Source organism: Homo sapiens, chromosome 20 (assembly GCF_000001405.40).
Source record: "Homo sapiens chromosome 20, GRCh38.p14 Primary Assembly".
Lineage (NCBI taxonomy): Eukaryota > Metazoa > Chordata > Mammalia > Primates > Hominidae > Homo > Homo sapiens.
In genome coordinates, this window is record NC_000020.11 from 36,692,526 (window position 1) to 36,709,683 (window position 17,158).

The 17,158-nt window shown below is 43.1% G+C and overlaps 1 protein-coding gene across 12 annotated transcripts in view, besides 1 other annotated feature; it reads right to left on the minus strand.

The window, feature by feature from the left end:
- Window positions 1-17,158, minus strand: part of NDRG3 (NDRG family member 3) — a 94,320-nt gene that overhangs the window by 40,755 nt on the left and 36,407 nt on the right. For 6 of the 12 annotated variants that reach the window (NR_038370.2, XM_011528928.4, NM_032013.4 and 3 more), the window contains exon 3: window positions 14,447-14,482. The exons of 2 other annotated variants lie outside the window; for them this stretch is intronic. Coding sequence is in view for 9 of the 10 variants with exons in the window: in XM_011528928.4 (XP_011527230.1) it covers window positions 14,447-14,482 (36 nt within the window). In the remaining variant the exon portion in view is untranslated. Of the gene's footprint in view, window positions 1-4,166; window positions 4,257-7,909; window positions 8,084-14,446; window positions 14,483-17,158 lie in introns of those variants that run through there. 4 more of the 12 variants (XM_017027980.3, XM_006723838.5, XM_011528926.3 and 1 more) reach the window with 2 other exon arrangements.
- Window positions 3,989-4,489: an enhancer, noted in NCBI's record as "H3K27ac hESC enhancer chr20:35324917-35325417 (GRCh37/hg19 assembly coordinates)". NCBI's record gives its function as "activates a minimal SCP1, AML or CMV promoter by ChIP-STARR-seq in primed H9 embryonic stem cells {active_cell/tissue: H9 hESC(primed)}" and the evidence as "EXISTENCE:reporter gene assay evidence [ECO:0000049][PMID:30033119]".

Genomic DNA, 17,158 nt, shown 5'->3' on the forward strand with positions numbered 1-17,158 from the left:
AATCAACATATACTGTTGGTAAGGCATATAAACTGGAACAACTACCAGGAGAATACTTTGGTAATTTCTAGTAAAGTTAAGAGGTGTCTACCCTACAGAAATTTTACCCTACAGCAATTTTACATATAGATATAATCTAAGGCTGGGGCCTTAGATTTCTGGTGCTAGCTGTATGTATTTGTAAATTCTGAGACATCCCTGGATTGCCTCTGGTTTAAGCTATATTGGGTGGGTTTGCACCTTATACCCCTAAAGGATCTTAACCAAGGCAGTGGTGGTGGCTCATGCCAGTAATCCCAGCACTTTGGGAGGCTGAGGTGAGAGGATCGCTTGAGCCCAGGAGTTCGAGACCAGCCCTGGCAACATAGCAAGACTGCATATCTACAAAAAAATAAAAACATTAGCCAGGTGTGATGGCATGTGCCAGTAATCCCAACTATTCGGGAAGCTGAGGCAGGAGAATGGCTTGAGCCCAGGAGGTCAAGGCTGTAGTTAGCTATGATCACAATACTGTACTCCAGCCGGGGTGACAGCAAGACCCTGTCTCAAAAAAAAAAAAAAAAAAAAAAAAAAAAAAAAAATATATATATATATATATATATATATATATATATATACACACACACACATATACACATATATATATACACACATATATATATACACACACACATATATATGTGTATATATATGTATATACGTATATATATGTGTGTATATATATATTCTAAATAAACTATCAAACATGGTCATATACACAAAAGGACATGTGCAGAGATGTACGGGTGACCCTCAAACAACACAAGGGTTAGTGGTGCCAACCCACTGTGTAGTCAAAAATCCACATATAACTTTTGATGCCCCCAAAACTTAACTACTAATAACCTACTATTGACCAGAAGCCTTACTGATAACATAAATAGCTAACTAACACATATTTTGTATGTTATATTATAAACTGCAGGGGTCCCCAACACCTGGGCCACAGACTGGTACCAGTCTGTGCCCTCTTAGGAACCGAGCCGCACAGGAGGAGGTGAGTGGCAGGTAAGAGCAAAGCTTCTGTCTTAAGAGCCACTCCCCGTTGCACTGCCTGAGCTCTACCTCCTATCAGATCAGCAGTGACATCAGATTCTCATAGGAGCATGAACCCTATTGTGAACTAAGCATGCAAGGGATCTAGGTTGTGTGCTCCTTATGAGAATCTAATGCCTGATGATCTATCACTGTCTCCCATCACCCCCACATGGGACCATCTAGTTGCAGGAAAACAAGCTCAGGGCTCCAACAGATTCTACATTATGGTGAGTTGCACGATTATTTCATTATATATTACAATGTAATAATAGAAAGTGCACAATAAATGTAATGTGCTTGAATCATCCCAAAACCATCCCAAATACATGGAAAAATTGTCTTCCACAAAACCGATCACTGGTGCCAGAAAGGTTAAGGACCACTGATATACTGTATTCTTACAATAAAGTAAGCTAAAGAAAAGAAAATGTTAAGAAAATCGTAAGGCAGAGAAAATATATTTACTATTCATTAAGTGGAAGTGGATCATCATAAAGGTCTTCATCCTTGTTATCTTGTTGAGTAGGCTGAGGACGAGGAGGAACAGGAGGGGTTGGTCTTGCCATCTCAAGGGTGGCAAAGAAGGAAGAGGTGGAGGAGGTGAAAGGGGAGGCAGGGGAGGCAGGCACACTTGATGTAACTTTACAGAAATACATGGTAATTTGTCTGACTTTTTACACTCTCATTTTTCTAAAAATGTTTCTATACAGTACCAATCCTTCTTCCACTGTTTACTTTAGTTAAAGTGTGCGTATCACAGAATAGTTCCTGACATAAAAGAAGTGAAAAACAGTCTTGAATAACTGGAACCCTTCTGCCAGGCTGTCTAATGTCAATTTGTTTTCTGGCACTGCTTCTTCTACATATTCCTCATTGCCTGGCACTGGTTCAGAAGCATTCATCTCCATCAAGTTGTCTTCTGCTAATTACTCTGGTGTGGTGTCTACTAGCTCTTAAATTTCTCCAAAATCCATACCTTGAAACCCTTCATCCTATGACCCACCTTTTTTTGGTCATATTCATAATCTCTGTAATGATCCTTCATTGGCTCTGTTGTAAATCCTGTGAAGTCATATACAACATCTCTACACAGTTTTCTCCAGCAGAAATTTATTGTTTTCAGCTTCATGGCTTTCAAGGCCTTTTATTTATTTATTTATTTATTTATTTTTTGAGACAGGGTCTCATTCTGTCACCCAGGCTGGAGTACAGTAGCGTGATCTCAACTCACTGCATTCTCCACCTCTCAGGCTCAAGCAATTCTCCCACCTCAGCCTCTCAAGTAGCTGGGACCATAGATGCATGCCACCATGCTCGGCTAATTTTTGTACTGTTTGTAGCATCAAGGTTTCACCATATTGCCCAGTGTTGCAGGAAGTCAGGGACCCCAAACAGAGGGACCTGCTGAAGCCGTGATAGAAGAACATAAATTGTGAAGATTTCATGGACATTTGTTAGTTCTCCAAATTAATACTTTTACAATTTCTTATGCCAGTCTTTACTGCAATCTCTGAACATAAATTGTGAAGATTTCATGGACATTTATCACTTCCCCAATCAATACTCATAATTTCCTATGCCTGTCCTTACTTTAATCTCTTAATGCTGTCATCTTCGTAAGCTGAGGATGTATGTCGCCTCAGGACCCTGTGATGATTGCGTTAACTGCACAAATTGTTCGTAGAGCATGTGTGTTTGAACAATATGAAATCTGGGCACCTTGAAAAAAGAACTGGATAACAGTGATGTTCAAGGGAACAAGGGAGATAACCATTAGGTCTGACTGCCTGGGAGCTGGGCAGGACAGAGCCATATTTCTCTTATTGCCAAAAACAGGTAAGAGCAATATCGCTGAATTCTTTCCCCAGTAAGGAATATTAATAATTAACAGCCCTGGGAAAAGAACGCATTCCTGGGGGGACGGAGGGGGATCTCTAAAATGGCCGCTGTGGGAGTGTCTGCCTTATGCAGTTGTAGATAGGGATGAAACACGTCCTGGTCTCCTGCAGCGCCCCCAGGCTTGCTAGGATTAGGAAATTCCAGCCTGGCAAATTCTAGTCAGACCAGTTCTCTGCTCTTGAACCCTGTTAAGATGTTTATCAATGACAATGCATGCACAGCGGGACATGGAACTTCATCAACAATTCTAGTTTCGCCCTGGCCTTGTGACCTTGCCCTACCCTTGTGACCTTGCCCTATCCATTTGCCTTGTGATATTTTATTGCCCTTGAAGCATGTGATCTCTGTGACCCACACCCTATTCGTATACTCCCTCCCCTTTGAAAATCGCTAATAAAAACTTGCTGGTTTTACGGCTCAGGGGGCATCATGGAACCTGCCGACATGTGATGTCTCCCCCCGGACACCCAGCTTTAAAATTTATCTCTTTTGTACTCTTTCCCTTTATTTCTCAGACCAGCCAACACTTAGGGAAAATAGAAAAGAACCTACACTGAAATATTGGGGGATTCCCCCGATAGCCCAGGCTGGCCTTCAACTTTGTTTTTTTTTGAGATGGAGTTTCACTCTTGTTGCCCAGGCTGGAATGCAATGGTGTGATCTCGGCTCACTGCAACCTCTGCCTCCCCAGTTCAAGTGATTCTCCTGCCTCAGCCTCCCAAGTAGCTGGGATTACAGGTGTGCATCCCCACACCTGGCTAATTTTGTATTTTTAATAGAGATGGGGTTTCACCATGTTGGTTGGGCTGGTCTCAAACTCTAACCTCAGGTGATCCACCCACCTTGGCCTCCCAAAGTGCTGGGATTACAGGCGTGAGTCACTGTGCCTGGCTAGCCTTGAACTTCTAAGCTCAAGCAATCTGCTTGCCTTGGCCTCCCAAAGTGCTGGGATTGCAAGTGTGAGCCACCGCGTGTGGCCTCTGGCTTTTTCTTTCTTTTTTTTCTTTTTTTGAGACGGAGTCTTGTTCTGTCACCAGGCTGGAGTGCAGTGGCACAATCTTGGCTCACTGAAATCCCCACCTCCCGGGTTCAAGTGATTCCCCTGCCTCAGCCTCCCAAGTAGCTGGACTACAGACGCGCGCCACCATGCCTAGCTAATTTTTTGTATTTTAGTAGAGATGGGGTTTCACCATGTTGGCCAGGATGGTCTCGATCCCCTGACCTCGTGATCCGCCCACCTCGGCCTTCCAAAGTGCTGGGATTACAGGCGTGAGCCACCACGCCCGGCCGCCTCTGGCCTTTTCTATAACAACAATGGCATCTTCAATGATGTAATCCTTCCGGACTTTTATGATGTTCCATCTATTGGGATTCTCTTCCACAGCATTGACAATCTGTTCCATAAAGTACCATGTATAATGAAACTTAAAGGTCCTTATGACCCCCTGATCTAGAGGCAGAATCAGAAATACTGTGTTTGAGGGCAAGTAGAACACTTAGACACCTTCAGTATTTAACTCAATACTGAAGTTCTGGGGTTCTGGGTGGCCAGGGGCATTGTCCATATCAAAAGAACTTTGAAAGGCAGCCTCTCACTGGCAAGGTATTTTGTGACTTCAGAGACAAAGCGTAGATGGAACCAATCCAGAAAAAGTGTTCTCATTATCTAGGCCTTCTTGCTGTACAATCAAAACACTGGCAGCTGGTGTTTTTTGTTTCCCTTCAAAGCTTAGGGGTTTGCAAGTTTAAAGATAGGGCAGTCCTGATCATAAACCTGGCCGCATTTACACAAAACAGAGTTAGCCCATCCCTTCATGCCTTAAATTCTGGTGCTCATTTCTCTTCCTTACTAATATGTCCTTTGTGGCAGGTTTTTTCCCCCCCAAGAATAGGGCACTTTTGTCTGCATTAAAATCTGTTCAGGGCCGGGCGCAGTGGCTCACACCTGTAATCCCAGCACTTTGGGAGGCTGAGGCTGGTGGATCACCTGAGGTCAGGAGTTTGAGACCAGCCTGGCCAGTATGGCGAAACCCCATCTCTACTAAAAAATACAAAAATTAGCCAGGCGTGGTGGCGGGTGCCTATAATCCCAGCTACTTGGGAGGTTGAGGCAGAAGAATCGCTTGCACCCGGGAGGCGGAGGTTGCAGTGGGCCAAGACCGTGCCATCGCACTCCAGCCTGGGCAACAAAAGCAAAACTCTGTCTCAAAAAAAAAAAAAAAAGATTTAATACTGCATCTTTACATTTGTTTACATTTCTCTCAACCATGAATGGTGCCATGTATGATCTATAAGTGTGTGCATAAATTTTAACTTTTTGTAATAGATTTGTGTATATTTTATGTTAGTAAATGATAAAATAGACTAATGTCTACATATAGTTTATACAATCATGACATACCTTTTTCCGAATGTTTCCAATAGTTCTAGGTTACATAATTTGCGAGTTTTTTTCTTTTTTCTTTTTTTTTTTTTTTTTTTTGAGACAGAGTCTTGCTCTGTCACCCAGGCTGGAATGCAGTGGCCCGATCTCAGCTCACTGCAACTTCCACTTCCTGGGTTCAAGTGATTTTCCTGCCTTGGCCTCCTGAGTAGCTGGGACTACAGGCACACGCCACCACACCTGGCTGATTTTTTGTATTTTTAGTAGAGATACCATTTCAACATGTTGGCCAGGCTGGTCTCAAACTCCTGAACTCAGGTGACCTGGCTGCCTTGGCCTCCCAAAGTGCTGGGATTATAGGCATGAGCCATCCTGCCCCGCTGTGGGTTTTTTCATATTGCTACAAATCTCCGGAAGCTTTCTGACTGTGTGTGGTGGCTCATGCCTGTAATCCCAGCACTTTGGGAGGCTGGGGTAGGAGGACTGCTCGAGCCCAGGAGTTTGAGACCAGCCTGGGCAACATGGTGAGACCCTGTCTCTACAAAAAATTTTTAAAAAATAGCCAGGCCTGGTGGTGCATGCCTGTGGTCCCAGTTACTTGGAGGCTGAGGTAGGAAAATCACTTGAGCTACAGTAAGCCATGTTCTTGCCACTGCACTCCAGCCTGGGTGACAGAGCAAGACCCTTTCTTAAAAAAAAAAAAATCCAATTTATGTATTGAAAAAAAAGCCATGTATAAGTGAACCTATACAGTTCAAACCTGTGTTGGTCAAGGGTGTAAACATCACAACCTTCTCTATAATGTCAAAAAAACTGGAAACAGCCCAAATATTCATCAATGGGGAAATTAATAAATGAATTACGATTTATTCATATAATGACATACAGATAAAAATGAACTAGAATTATTAGCATTAATACACACAGAAAATCTTCAAAAAAATGTAAAAGAGCAAGATGCAAAAGGATATATATTAAAAATATACCACTTATGCCAATATTTTAAAAAGCAACACTATAGATTCTGTTTATTTATATATATGTATACATACATATACGTACACATATATATTTAGAGACAGGATCTCATTCTAGTGCCCAGGCTAGAGTGCAGTGATGTGATCATAGCTCACTGCAGCATAGAACTCCTGGGCTCAAGCAATCCTCTCACCTCAGCCTCCCAAGTAGCTAGGACTACAGGCGCATACTGCTACACCTGGCTAATTTTTATTTTTTAGATTTCTTGGAGAGACGGGGTCTCCATATTTGCCCAGGCTGGTCTTGAATTCCTGGCCTCAAGTGATTGTCCCAAATCAGCCACCCAAAGCGCTACTACAGGCATGAGCCAGCACAGCCAGCCTATAACTAAAGTATAAAAACTTGGAGGAGAAACAAGGTACACTAACTTTAGAACTTTGTTTCCTTCTGGGAATGGATAAATTATTAAAGAGAACTAAAGGAGGTTTCAATATCTCTCATGTTTTGTTTCTTGAGAGATATAAAGAATAAAGCGGGGGGAGGCAGCAAGAAAAAGGGAGAGAAGGAGAAAGTGTCTGCCATATGGAGTGACACTACAGGCAAATCCAAGTTAAAGAGAGCGTCCGACAACTTGTCACCTTGACAATCTGGTTGCTGGAACCTGTCTTCTGTCAAACTCAAACCTTCAGTAGGGTCCTGCTTAAAGATTCCAGTTTGGCCACTGCTGAGAACTGAGGGAAACACCAGTTTATACTCTGGCTCTACGCATAGCAGGACCTTGCCAAGGCCCGGTAACTGATGGTAACTGGTGGTGGTGGTGGTGGTGGTAGGGTGTGTGTGTGTGTGTGTGTGGGTACACACAGGAGGTGGATGGGGATGAGACAGTGAGCTGCCAGGGAAGGTCAGGAGAAGGATGGTAAAAAGGGAGATATAACAGGTGGGGGTAAAAGACAATACTTTAAAAGTAGATGAGGGAGGCCGGGCACGGTGGCTCACATTTGTAAAATCCCAGCACTTTAGGAGGCTGAGGCAGGCGGATCACGAGGTCAGGAATTCAAGACCAGCCTGACCAACATGGTGAAACCCGTCTCTACTAAAAATACAAAAATTAGCCAGGCGCGGAGGCAAGCGCCTGTAATCCCAGCTACTCAGGAGGGAGGAGAATTGCTTGAACCCAGGAGGCGGAGGTTTCAGTGAGCCAAGATCACACCGCTGCACTCCAGCCTGGGTGACAGAGTGACAATCAGTCTCAAAAAAAAAAAAAAAAAAAAAGTAGATGAAGGAATAGGGCAAAGTTACTACTTTGTTGCCATTTCATAATCTGGATGATATTCAAAAGTAAAATTGGCTCCTTACAAAATTTCAACTTTTTAGGGATATCTCAGCCCCTACCATGCCATAATATGCCCTCAAGTCATGTAACAACAAAAGTATCCAAGAGTCCTAGGCCCTGATCATTGCCCTATTTGGAGCAGCCCCTAGTTGTCAATGTCTCAAAGTTCTTCATTTTCAAAGTATGTGAATGTAAATATGCTTAGCAGAATAAAAAACAAAAAGAAAGGAAGCACTCACCTCCATGGTGATTGGCATGCATATTTTTCGTGACCTTGTGAATGAACAGCTTGAAAAAAACTCCATCTGAAGATGAATGTGCAGAGACCCTGGCTAAGGAGCTGATTCAGTTGTCAGGCCACTGCAGGGAGTAACGTGCTGTTGCTACCTTTTTGTCTTAGTCAATTATCATCTGTTTTACAGGCTCTCTATCCAGTTATCTCATCTCCCACCCCAGCATTCTAGAGTGTGACTACACAATGAGCCTGTGCTCAAAGAGCACAGTCTAAGGGAGCATCTGATAGGCTCTGGTCATAGATCTCTCCCATCTCTCCCAGCAGTTTCTTTGCTTTTCCTTTTCTTTCTTCTTTTTTTTTGAGACAGGGTCTCGTCATTGTCTCCTAGGCTGGAGTCCAGTGGTGTGATCATAGCTCACTGTAATCTTGAACTCCTGGGCTCAAATGATCCTCCTACCTCAGCCCCCCAAGTAGCTTGGAGCACACATGCTTGCCATCATACCCAGCTAATTTTTAAATTTTTTGCAGAGATGGGGTCTCCCTATATTGCCCAAGCTGATCTCAAACTCCTGGGCTCAAGTGATCTTCCTGCCACAGCCTCCCAAAGTGCTGGGAATATAGGCATGAGCCACCATTCCCCGGCTCTCCCAGTACTTACTGATTATTTATTACCTCCAAGGCTATGCACTTCTTGAACATAATCCCTTTATTCTCCATGTTTATAAAACAACATGAAATCATAAAGGTCCTTGACATACTTCTCTATTCTGGACTGTCTCTCCCACCTAATGAAAGCTGTAGTCTTAAACACAAGGTCTTTTTAAGGTCAGGCAGGATGGCTCAGGTCTGTAATCCTAGCATTCTGGGAAGCCAAGGTGAGAGTATCACTTGAGGCCAGGAGTTCAAGACCAGTCTGAGCAACAGAGCAAGACCCCATCTCTACAAAAAATATATATATTTTCTAATTAGCCAGGCACGGTGGCATGTGCCTGTAGTCCCAGCTACTCAGGAGGCTGAAGCGGGAAGATTGCTTCAGCCCAGGAGTTCGAGGTTACTGTGAGCTATAATCACGTCACTGCACCCCAGCCTGGGTGACAAAGTAAGACCCTGTATCTTTTTTTTTTTTTTTTTTTTGAGATGGCGTTTTGCTCTTTTTGCCCAGGCTGGAGTGCAATGGTGCGATCTCAGCCCACCACAACCTCCGCCTCCTGGGTTCAAGCAATTTTCCTGCCTCAGCCTACTGAGGAGCTGGGATTACAGGCATGCGCCACCATGCCTGGCTAATTTTGTATTTTTTAATAGAGACAGGGTTACTCCATGTTGGCCAGGCTGGTTTCGAACTCCTGACCTCAGGTGATCCACCTGCCTCGGCCTCCTAAAGTGCTGGGATTACAGGCGTGAGCCACTGTGCCCAGCTGAGACCCTGCATCTTTAAAAAAAAAAAAAAAAAAGCCTTTTAAGAATGTAAGAGTTTAAGATATTACCATTATTTAATAACCAACTTTCACTTTTTTCTTGAGCCCTCTGACTTCAATAAATGTGTTGTCACTGGAATGACACGATCTGACTTGTCCCATATTTCTAAACTTAACTAAATCATGCTAAATCACTAAATCATGATCATTTCATGCCTGTTACTATTTCTTCCTCTTTCTGGCTAGTCTGAACTAGTTTAGTTATATTTGCATGACAACATACTCTGGGAAATGTCAACTTTTTTTTTTGAGACGGAGTCTTGCTCTGTGGCCCAGGCTGGAGTGCAGTGGCGTGATCTTGGTTCACTGCAAGCTCCGCCTCCTGGGTTCACGCCATTCTCCTGCCTCAGCCTCCCAAGTAGCAGGGACCACAGGTGCCCGCCACTATGCCGGCTAATTTTTTTGTATTTTTAGTAGAGATGGGGTTTCACCGTGTTAGCCAGGATGGTCTCGATCTCCTGACCTCATGATCCGCCCACCTCGGCCTCCCAAAGTGCTGGGATTACAGGCGTGAGCGACCGCGCCCGGCCCCAATATTTTTATTAGTATGAACTGTTATTGTTTCCAATAAGCAGGCTACTGTATGAGGCCTGGGTATAGTTTTTGTTATACAAGATTTTTGTTTGTTTGTTTTTGAGACAGAGTTTCACTCCTGTCACCCAGGCTGCAGTGCAAAGGCTCAATCTCAGCTCACTGCACACTCTGCCTCCCGGGTTCAAGCCATTCTCCTGTCTCAGCCTCCCAAACAGCTGGGATTACAGGCACCTGCCACCATGCCCAGCTAATTTTTTTTTTTTTTTGAGATGGAGTTTCGCTCTTGTTGACCAGGCTGGAGTGCAATGGTGCGATCTCGGCTCACCTCAACCTCCACCTCTCAGGTTCAAGCAATCATCCTGCCTCAGCCTCTCAAGTAGCCGGGATTACAGGCATGCACATGCCTGGCTAGTTTTGTATTTTCAATAGAGACGGGGTTTCTCCATGCTGGTCAGGCTGGTCTTGAACTCCCGACCTCAGGTCATCTGCCCACCTCAGCCTCCCAAAGTGCTGGGATTACAGTTGTGAGCCACCAGACCTGGCCTAATTTTTGTATTTTTAGTAGAGACAGGGTTTCACCATGTTGGCCAGGCTGGTCTCGAACTCCTGATCTCAGGTGATCTACCCGCAGAATTATAAGCAATCTTTATTTTTATGCTTTTCTAAGTTTTCTAAATTTGTTTCTGATTATACACAAAATAAGTGTTATTTATCTAAAGCAATATATCATATACACATATAAATTACAGCATCTGTCTCAATGCTGTCTCTAATATACATATATGTATACTACACGTGTATATATGTATATCATATACATGTATATTAGAGAGTGTTGGGACAGATGCTATAGTTATCTGTAATATATCTATATAGTTTACATGTATGTGTGTGGATATATATACCCACACACACATATATATATACATATATACTCAACATAGTGAGACCCTCGTCTCTAAATATATATATATGTAATATCCTATCTATCTATCTATCTATCTATCTATCTATCTATCTATATGTGTGTGTGTGTGTAATATATAGAGAGAAAGACTGGGGTCTCACTATGTTGCCTAGGCTGGTCTCAAACTCCTGGGCTCAAGCAATCCGCTTGCCTCAGCCTCCCAAAGTGCTGGGACTACAGGCGCATGCCATCGTGCCCAGCTAATTTTTTATTTTTTAATTTTTTGTAGAGAAGGGGGTCTCCCTATGTTGCTCAGGCTGTTCTCAAACTCCTGGGCTCACACAATTCTCCTGCATTAGCCTCCCAAAGCTCTGGGATTACAGGCATGAGCCATAGCACCCAGCCTTTCTGTTTGTATCAGAACAGAACTAAAAGTTCTATTTCACAAGGCCGGAACATGTTACTATTTTAAAGCTTTACCCAAAGTATCAAGAATTTTTGCCAGACTATTTTTAAGCCTTAATATTAAAAAGTGACTCATAATTATATTTCTAAAACTCAATTTCATATCTACAATTATATATATGTATGGAAAAAAAATCTCAAATGACATATGCCAAAATATTAACACTAGTGAAATAGCAGGTGATTTTTATTTATTTACTTTTTGGTGTTTTCTCATTTATTTTGCAACAAGTATGTAATCTTTTATATTCTAATTTTTTCTCTTTTTTTCCTTTTTTTCTTTGAGATGGAGTCTCACTCTGTTGCCCAGGCTGGAGTGCAGTGGCAGGATCTCAGCTCACTGCAGCCTCCGCCTTCTGGATTCAAGCAATTCTCCTGCCTCAGCCTCCTGAGTAGCTCGGATTACAGACGCAAACCACCATGCCTGGCTAATTTTTGTATTTTTAGTAGAGATGGGGTTTCACTATGTTGGCCAGGCTGGTCTTGAACTCCTGACCTCGTGAACTCCTGACCTCAGCCTCCCAAAGTGCTGGGATTACAGGCGTTAGCCACCGCACCCCACTATATTCTAATTTTCTTACTTCGGAGGAGGTGCTGAATTTGATGAAAATTAATACTTCTACACTTTGGGGCAGGAGTATACATGTATACATATACTATTTCTGGAGTTCCTCACCTTGAATTTTACTGTCACCCTCTCTCTAATGTTTTCCTTCTTGGTAAATTATATCAAATATTAACAGTAATCAAGCTCTACTGGTTCAACCTAGGATCCAAACCATAACTGAAGTTAGATCAAATTAAAAACAATCCAACCCAAACTTGACTGTCACTATTTATTAAAAAATAACGTAACTTATTGTTTTAGAGGAAAGGAGCCATTGCCTACAGTGAATGACTGTATCAGCACTAGGCTGATAATGTTCTATATACAAAGTACCAAATAGTTATTACAAACGAGTTTGGAACTGAGATTCAGAAATCTGTAACTGTACTATGAGCCTGACCCTTCCAAGGTGAGTCTCATCTGTTCTTCCAAGGAACCTCAGCTTTAAGGACAATTAATTCCTTACATTTCATTTCCCCTCTGGACATGTCCAGGTGGGAAAAAATGGGCAACGGATTCAGGAAGAATGGGGTTTTTCAATCCCAACCACTCAATGGCAAGTTATAAAACTTAATTCTTAATTTCCTGACTATAAAACAGAAACAAGAAAAACCATCTTGGCCAGGTGTGGTGGCTCATGCCTGTAATCCCAGCACTTTGGGAGGCTGAGGTGGGTGAATCATTTGAGGTCAGGGGTTCGAGACCATCCTGACCAACATGGTGAAACCCCGTCTCTACTAAAAATTAAAAAAAATTAGCCAGGTGTGGTGGCGGGCTCCTGTAATCCCAGCTACTTGGAGGCTGAGGCAGGAGAATCGCTTGAATCCAGGAGGCAGAGGCTGCAGTGAGCCAGTATCAACGCCACTGCACTCCAGCCTGGGCGACTGAGCAAGACTCTGTCTCAAAAAAAAAAAAAAAGAAAAGAAAAGAAAAGAAAAGAAAAAAAACCCATCTTGTAATATTGCTCTAAGTATTGAAGATACTGTATGTTTAGTAGGTACCCTACAGTAGGTACTCAAATTATTATAACTGGTTTGCTTATAAATAGTTCTTTCTTCTGATGCTAATGCTTAGAGATTCCACTGTACTTAACATAAAACGCATATTTGAAAATAACTATTTGCTGGGGGGTATACAGGTTGGCTGAATACTGGAAGCAAGGACGTTGCCAGCACCCTCCTTTACTGCTAGTACCCTCTGGGTCTACTTCATGTCACTTCTGTTACTGCTATGGCATCTATCCCAAAAGTGGGAGGGTCAGGCTGCCCAGCTTATAAGGTTTCCAGTTCCATGTACTTATTTCTTACTCCCATGTTTTCTTTTTCTTATTTATTTATTATTATTTTTTTGAGACAGAGTCCCACTCTGTTGCCCAGGCTGAAGTGTGGTGGTGTTAGCTCACTGCAACTTCTGCCTCCCAGGTTCAAGCAATTCTCCCACCTCAGCCTCCTGAGTAGCTGGGATTACAGGCACGCACCATCACGTCCAGCTAATTTTTGTATTTTTAGTAGAGATGGGGTTTCACTGCGTTGGCCAGGCTGGTCTTGAACACTTGACCTCAGGTGATCTGCCCACCTCAGCCTCCCAAAGTGCTGAGATTACAGGCATGAGCCACTGTGTCCGGTCCTTAGTCCCATTTCTTTCAGGACCAGTCAACAGATAGAAGAGGTAGATGGAGAACTGCTGGTTCATTTTACTGATTTTCAAACTGGCAACAGAGGTGATGCAAAAGCAGACCAGGAAGAACAGTTTCATTTAGAAAACACTAATGAGTCAAGTTGAATTTTGCATTTCCAAACATAAACCCAAGAGAAATCTGCATATTGTATTCATAACAATTTAGGGAAAGATTTCTTTTAGGGAAAGATTTTACTGTCAAGAAATCTCTCCTCCATCTGCCCTTCTCCTATCTTCTCTGCGGTAAGGTAGCAACCCTCCATTTGCCACCTATGACAAATGAGGTTTCCAATATCATGTGAGGAAAAGAGATCTTAATCACAAAGAAACAGCTCTATTCAGTAACCTACAATCATAAAACAGGTACCTGGCAGGCAATTTCTGAACACGATAGCAAATCAGTTTTTTTGTTTGTTTGTTTGTTTTTGAGATGGAGTCTTACTCTATGACCCAGGCTGGAGTGCAGTAGCACGATCTCGGCTCACTGAACCTCTGCCTCCTGAGTTCAAGTGATTCTCCTGCCTCAGCCTCCTGAGTAGCTGGCATTACAAGCATGCACCACCACGCTTGGCTAATTTTTGTATTTTTAGTAGGATGAGTTTTCACCATGTTGGCCGGTATGGTCTCAAACTCCTGACCTCAAGTGATCTGTCTGCCTTGGCCTCTCAAAGTGCTGGAATTATAGGTATGAGCCCCCATGCCAGTGGCCAACAATTGCAAATCATTTTAAGTGAACTTGATCCAATGACCAAACGAACATTAAGGACTCATTATTAGCTATAATGAGAGATCCACTTCTACAAGACCACCACCACAGGAAAGGAAACACTGCAGAGATCCTGTACAGAGCCTCCTTCTTGCTTGTACAGTCCTTACCTGACAGTCAAAGTCCTGGAAGTTTCTTGTACCATTCTGTCAACAGAAGACAGAAAACACAGTCAGTTTCCCCACATGGTTTCCCCACATGTGCAGCACATTCAGTTCACAGTGACAGCAGTGCATGTGCAGCCTCTTGGTTGCCATAAAACTGAAATAGTTCTCATCAGAAGGTTTCAGAGGCAGAGTGGGTTATGAACATGTGTTAATAAAGGCCAAATCTTCAGAGGTGAGATTATGCTTTAGTGGGCTTATGAGAAGATAAAGGAAAGGGGCCTAGTTTTCTAGCAAGCTTGTAACTTCTTGCCTTCCTACCTAAGGAGAGCGGTGAGAATTTGCAGGAAGAGGGTAAAACATGGACCACAGTCTGGAAGCACACCTTGAACACACAAGGGAAGTACCTGGGAGGAAAGGAGTTGGAGACCAAAGCTGAGAAAGGTGAAGGAGAACAGGTGCAGAACCAGGAATTAAATAAAGGATCAGGAAGAGGACAAAGATATGGATGGATCAGAAATGAAAGCCTTGAAATCTAACAGAGAAGAAAGGCAGTGTTACTGAAGGAGGGAAAGAAAGACAAAACAAGGTTCTTAATACACTGGCCTATCTGTTGCATCCTATGAAATCGCTGATAGGGAAAAAGGACAAGTCATTGAATCATTTAAAAAGTCAAACACAGTCAAAAAATCGATGGAGAATTCACCAAGCTTCTAAAAAGGGATTATATTATAATAATGACTGATTGAGGAAAAAAAAATCAATGGCAATAACTCAGAAGCATTTTTCCAGCATTCCAGATGCCAGAATTGCAAGTCATAAGAGTATAAAAAAGGGGCCGAGTGTGGTGGCTCACACCTGTAATCCCAGTATTTTGGGAGGCTGAGGCAGGCAGATCACCTGAGGTCAGGAGTTTGTGGGCAGCCTGGCCAACATGGTGAAACCCCGTCTCTACTAAAAATACAAAAATTAGCCGGGTGTTGTGGTGTGCACCTGTAATCCCAGCTACTTGGGAGGCCGAGGCAGGAGAATTGCTTGAAACTGGAAGGCGGAGGTTGCAGTGAGCTGAGATCGCACCACTGTGCTCCAGCCTGGGCAACAGAGTGAGACTCCATTTCAAAAAAAGGAAAAAAAAAAAGGTAACAAGTGATGTATTTGGGAATAAAAGAAAACTTCTACTTGATTTTTCACAAAGTGTAACCCCCTTCCTGAAAAAAGTCTCCCATTATGTAGAAACTGATTTATCACAACTATTTATTCTGTCTCTACAATGACTTCTAGAAGGTTCCTAACAGCTTCCCAAAAGCTGCCCCTCCAGAGATACTCCAGATATCTGATCCCCAAAAAATACTGAGTAGTCCCATCTCCCTTCAAGATGATCCTCCTAGAAATAGTTCTTCAGGGCCGGGCACGGTGACTTATGCCTGTAATCCTAGCACTTTGGGAGGCTGAGGGAAGTGGATCACCCAAGGTCAGGAGTTTGAGACCAGCCTGGCCAACATGGTGAAACCTCATCTCTACTAAAAAACTACAAAAATTAGCCGGGCATGGAGGCGCCTGTAATCCCAGCTACTTGAGAGGCTGAGGCAAGAGAATCACTTGAACCCAGGAGGCAGAGGTTGCGGTGAGCCGATATTGAGCCATTGCGTGTCAGCCTGGGTGTCAGAGCGAGACTCCGTCTCAAAAAAAAAAAAAAAAAAAGAAAAAGAAAAAAAGAAATAGTTCTTTGGGATCCCACCAACTACACTGCTGGCTGGACAAAAGAGAGGTTAAAAAGCACAGCCCAAGCCGGGCGCGGTGGCTCACGCCTGTAATCCCAGCACGGCACTTTGGGAGGCCAAGGCGGGCGGATCACCTGAGGTTGGGAGTATGAGACCAGCCTGACCAACATGGAGAAACCCCATCTCTATTAAAAATACAAAATTAGCCAGGTGTGGTGGTGCATGCCTGTAATCCCAGCTACTTGGGAGGCTGAGGCAGGAGAATTGCTTGAACCAGGGAGGCGGAGGTTGCAGTGAGCTGAGATCATGCCATTGCACTCCAGCCTGGGCAACAAGAGTGAAACTGTCTCAAAAAAATTAAAAAATAAGTAAATAACTAAATAAATCACAGCCCAGTGTGGTATAAACACCCAAAGAAACAAACTATCCACTCCATAAGAGGGACTATCTAGAGCTGCACTATCCAGTACGGTAGCCGTTAGCCATATGTACAATTTAAGTTTAAATTCAATAAAATAAAATCTCAGTTTCTCAGTTACATTAGCCATATCTCAAGTGCTCATACTCTTGGGCAGTACAGACACAGAACATTTCCATGACTGCAGCAAGTTCTACTGGACAGCACTGATCTGGAAGCCAAAAGCTTCTGAAGGAATAACGTTATGAAAGAGCAGCCCCTGACTTTCTAAAGGTGGCAGTAAAGTCACAACAGATTACCAATCATAGAGAGACTGCAGATGCCACTGAGAATGGGCAAGAGAATGGTAGAGACAGTAAAATATTATTCCTAACACGAAACCGAATTCACAAAAAGTCTGATACAGTCACAGTATGGAAAGACAACTAAGATACTGTGCAGATGGGACTGGGCAGCACATTTCCAAGGAATGTTGCTATTGATTAAAAGGAGCATAATGTTCCATGGCTCCTACTAGCCCTAAGAAATGTCTGAGGACTTCTTCAGAGAAATCATTGTGTTTAATTTACAGATAGACTA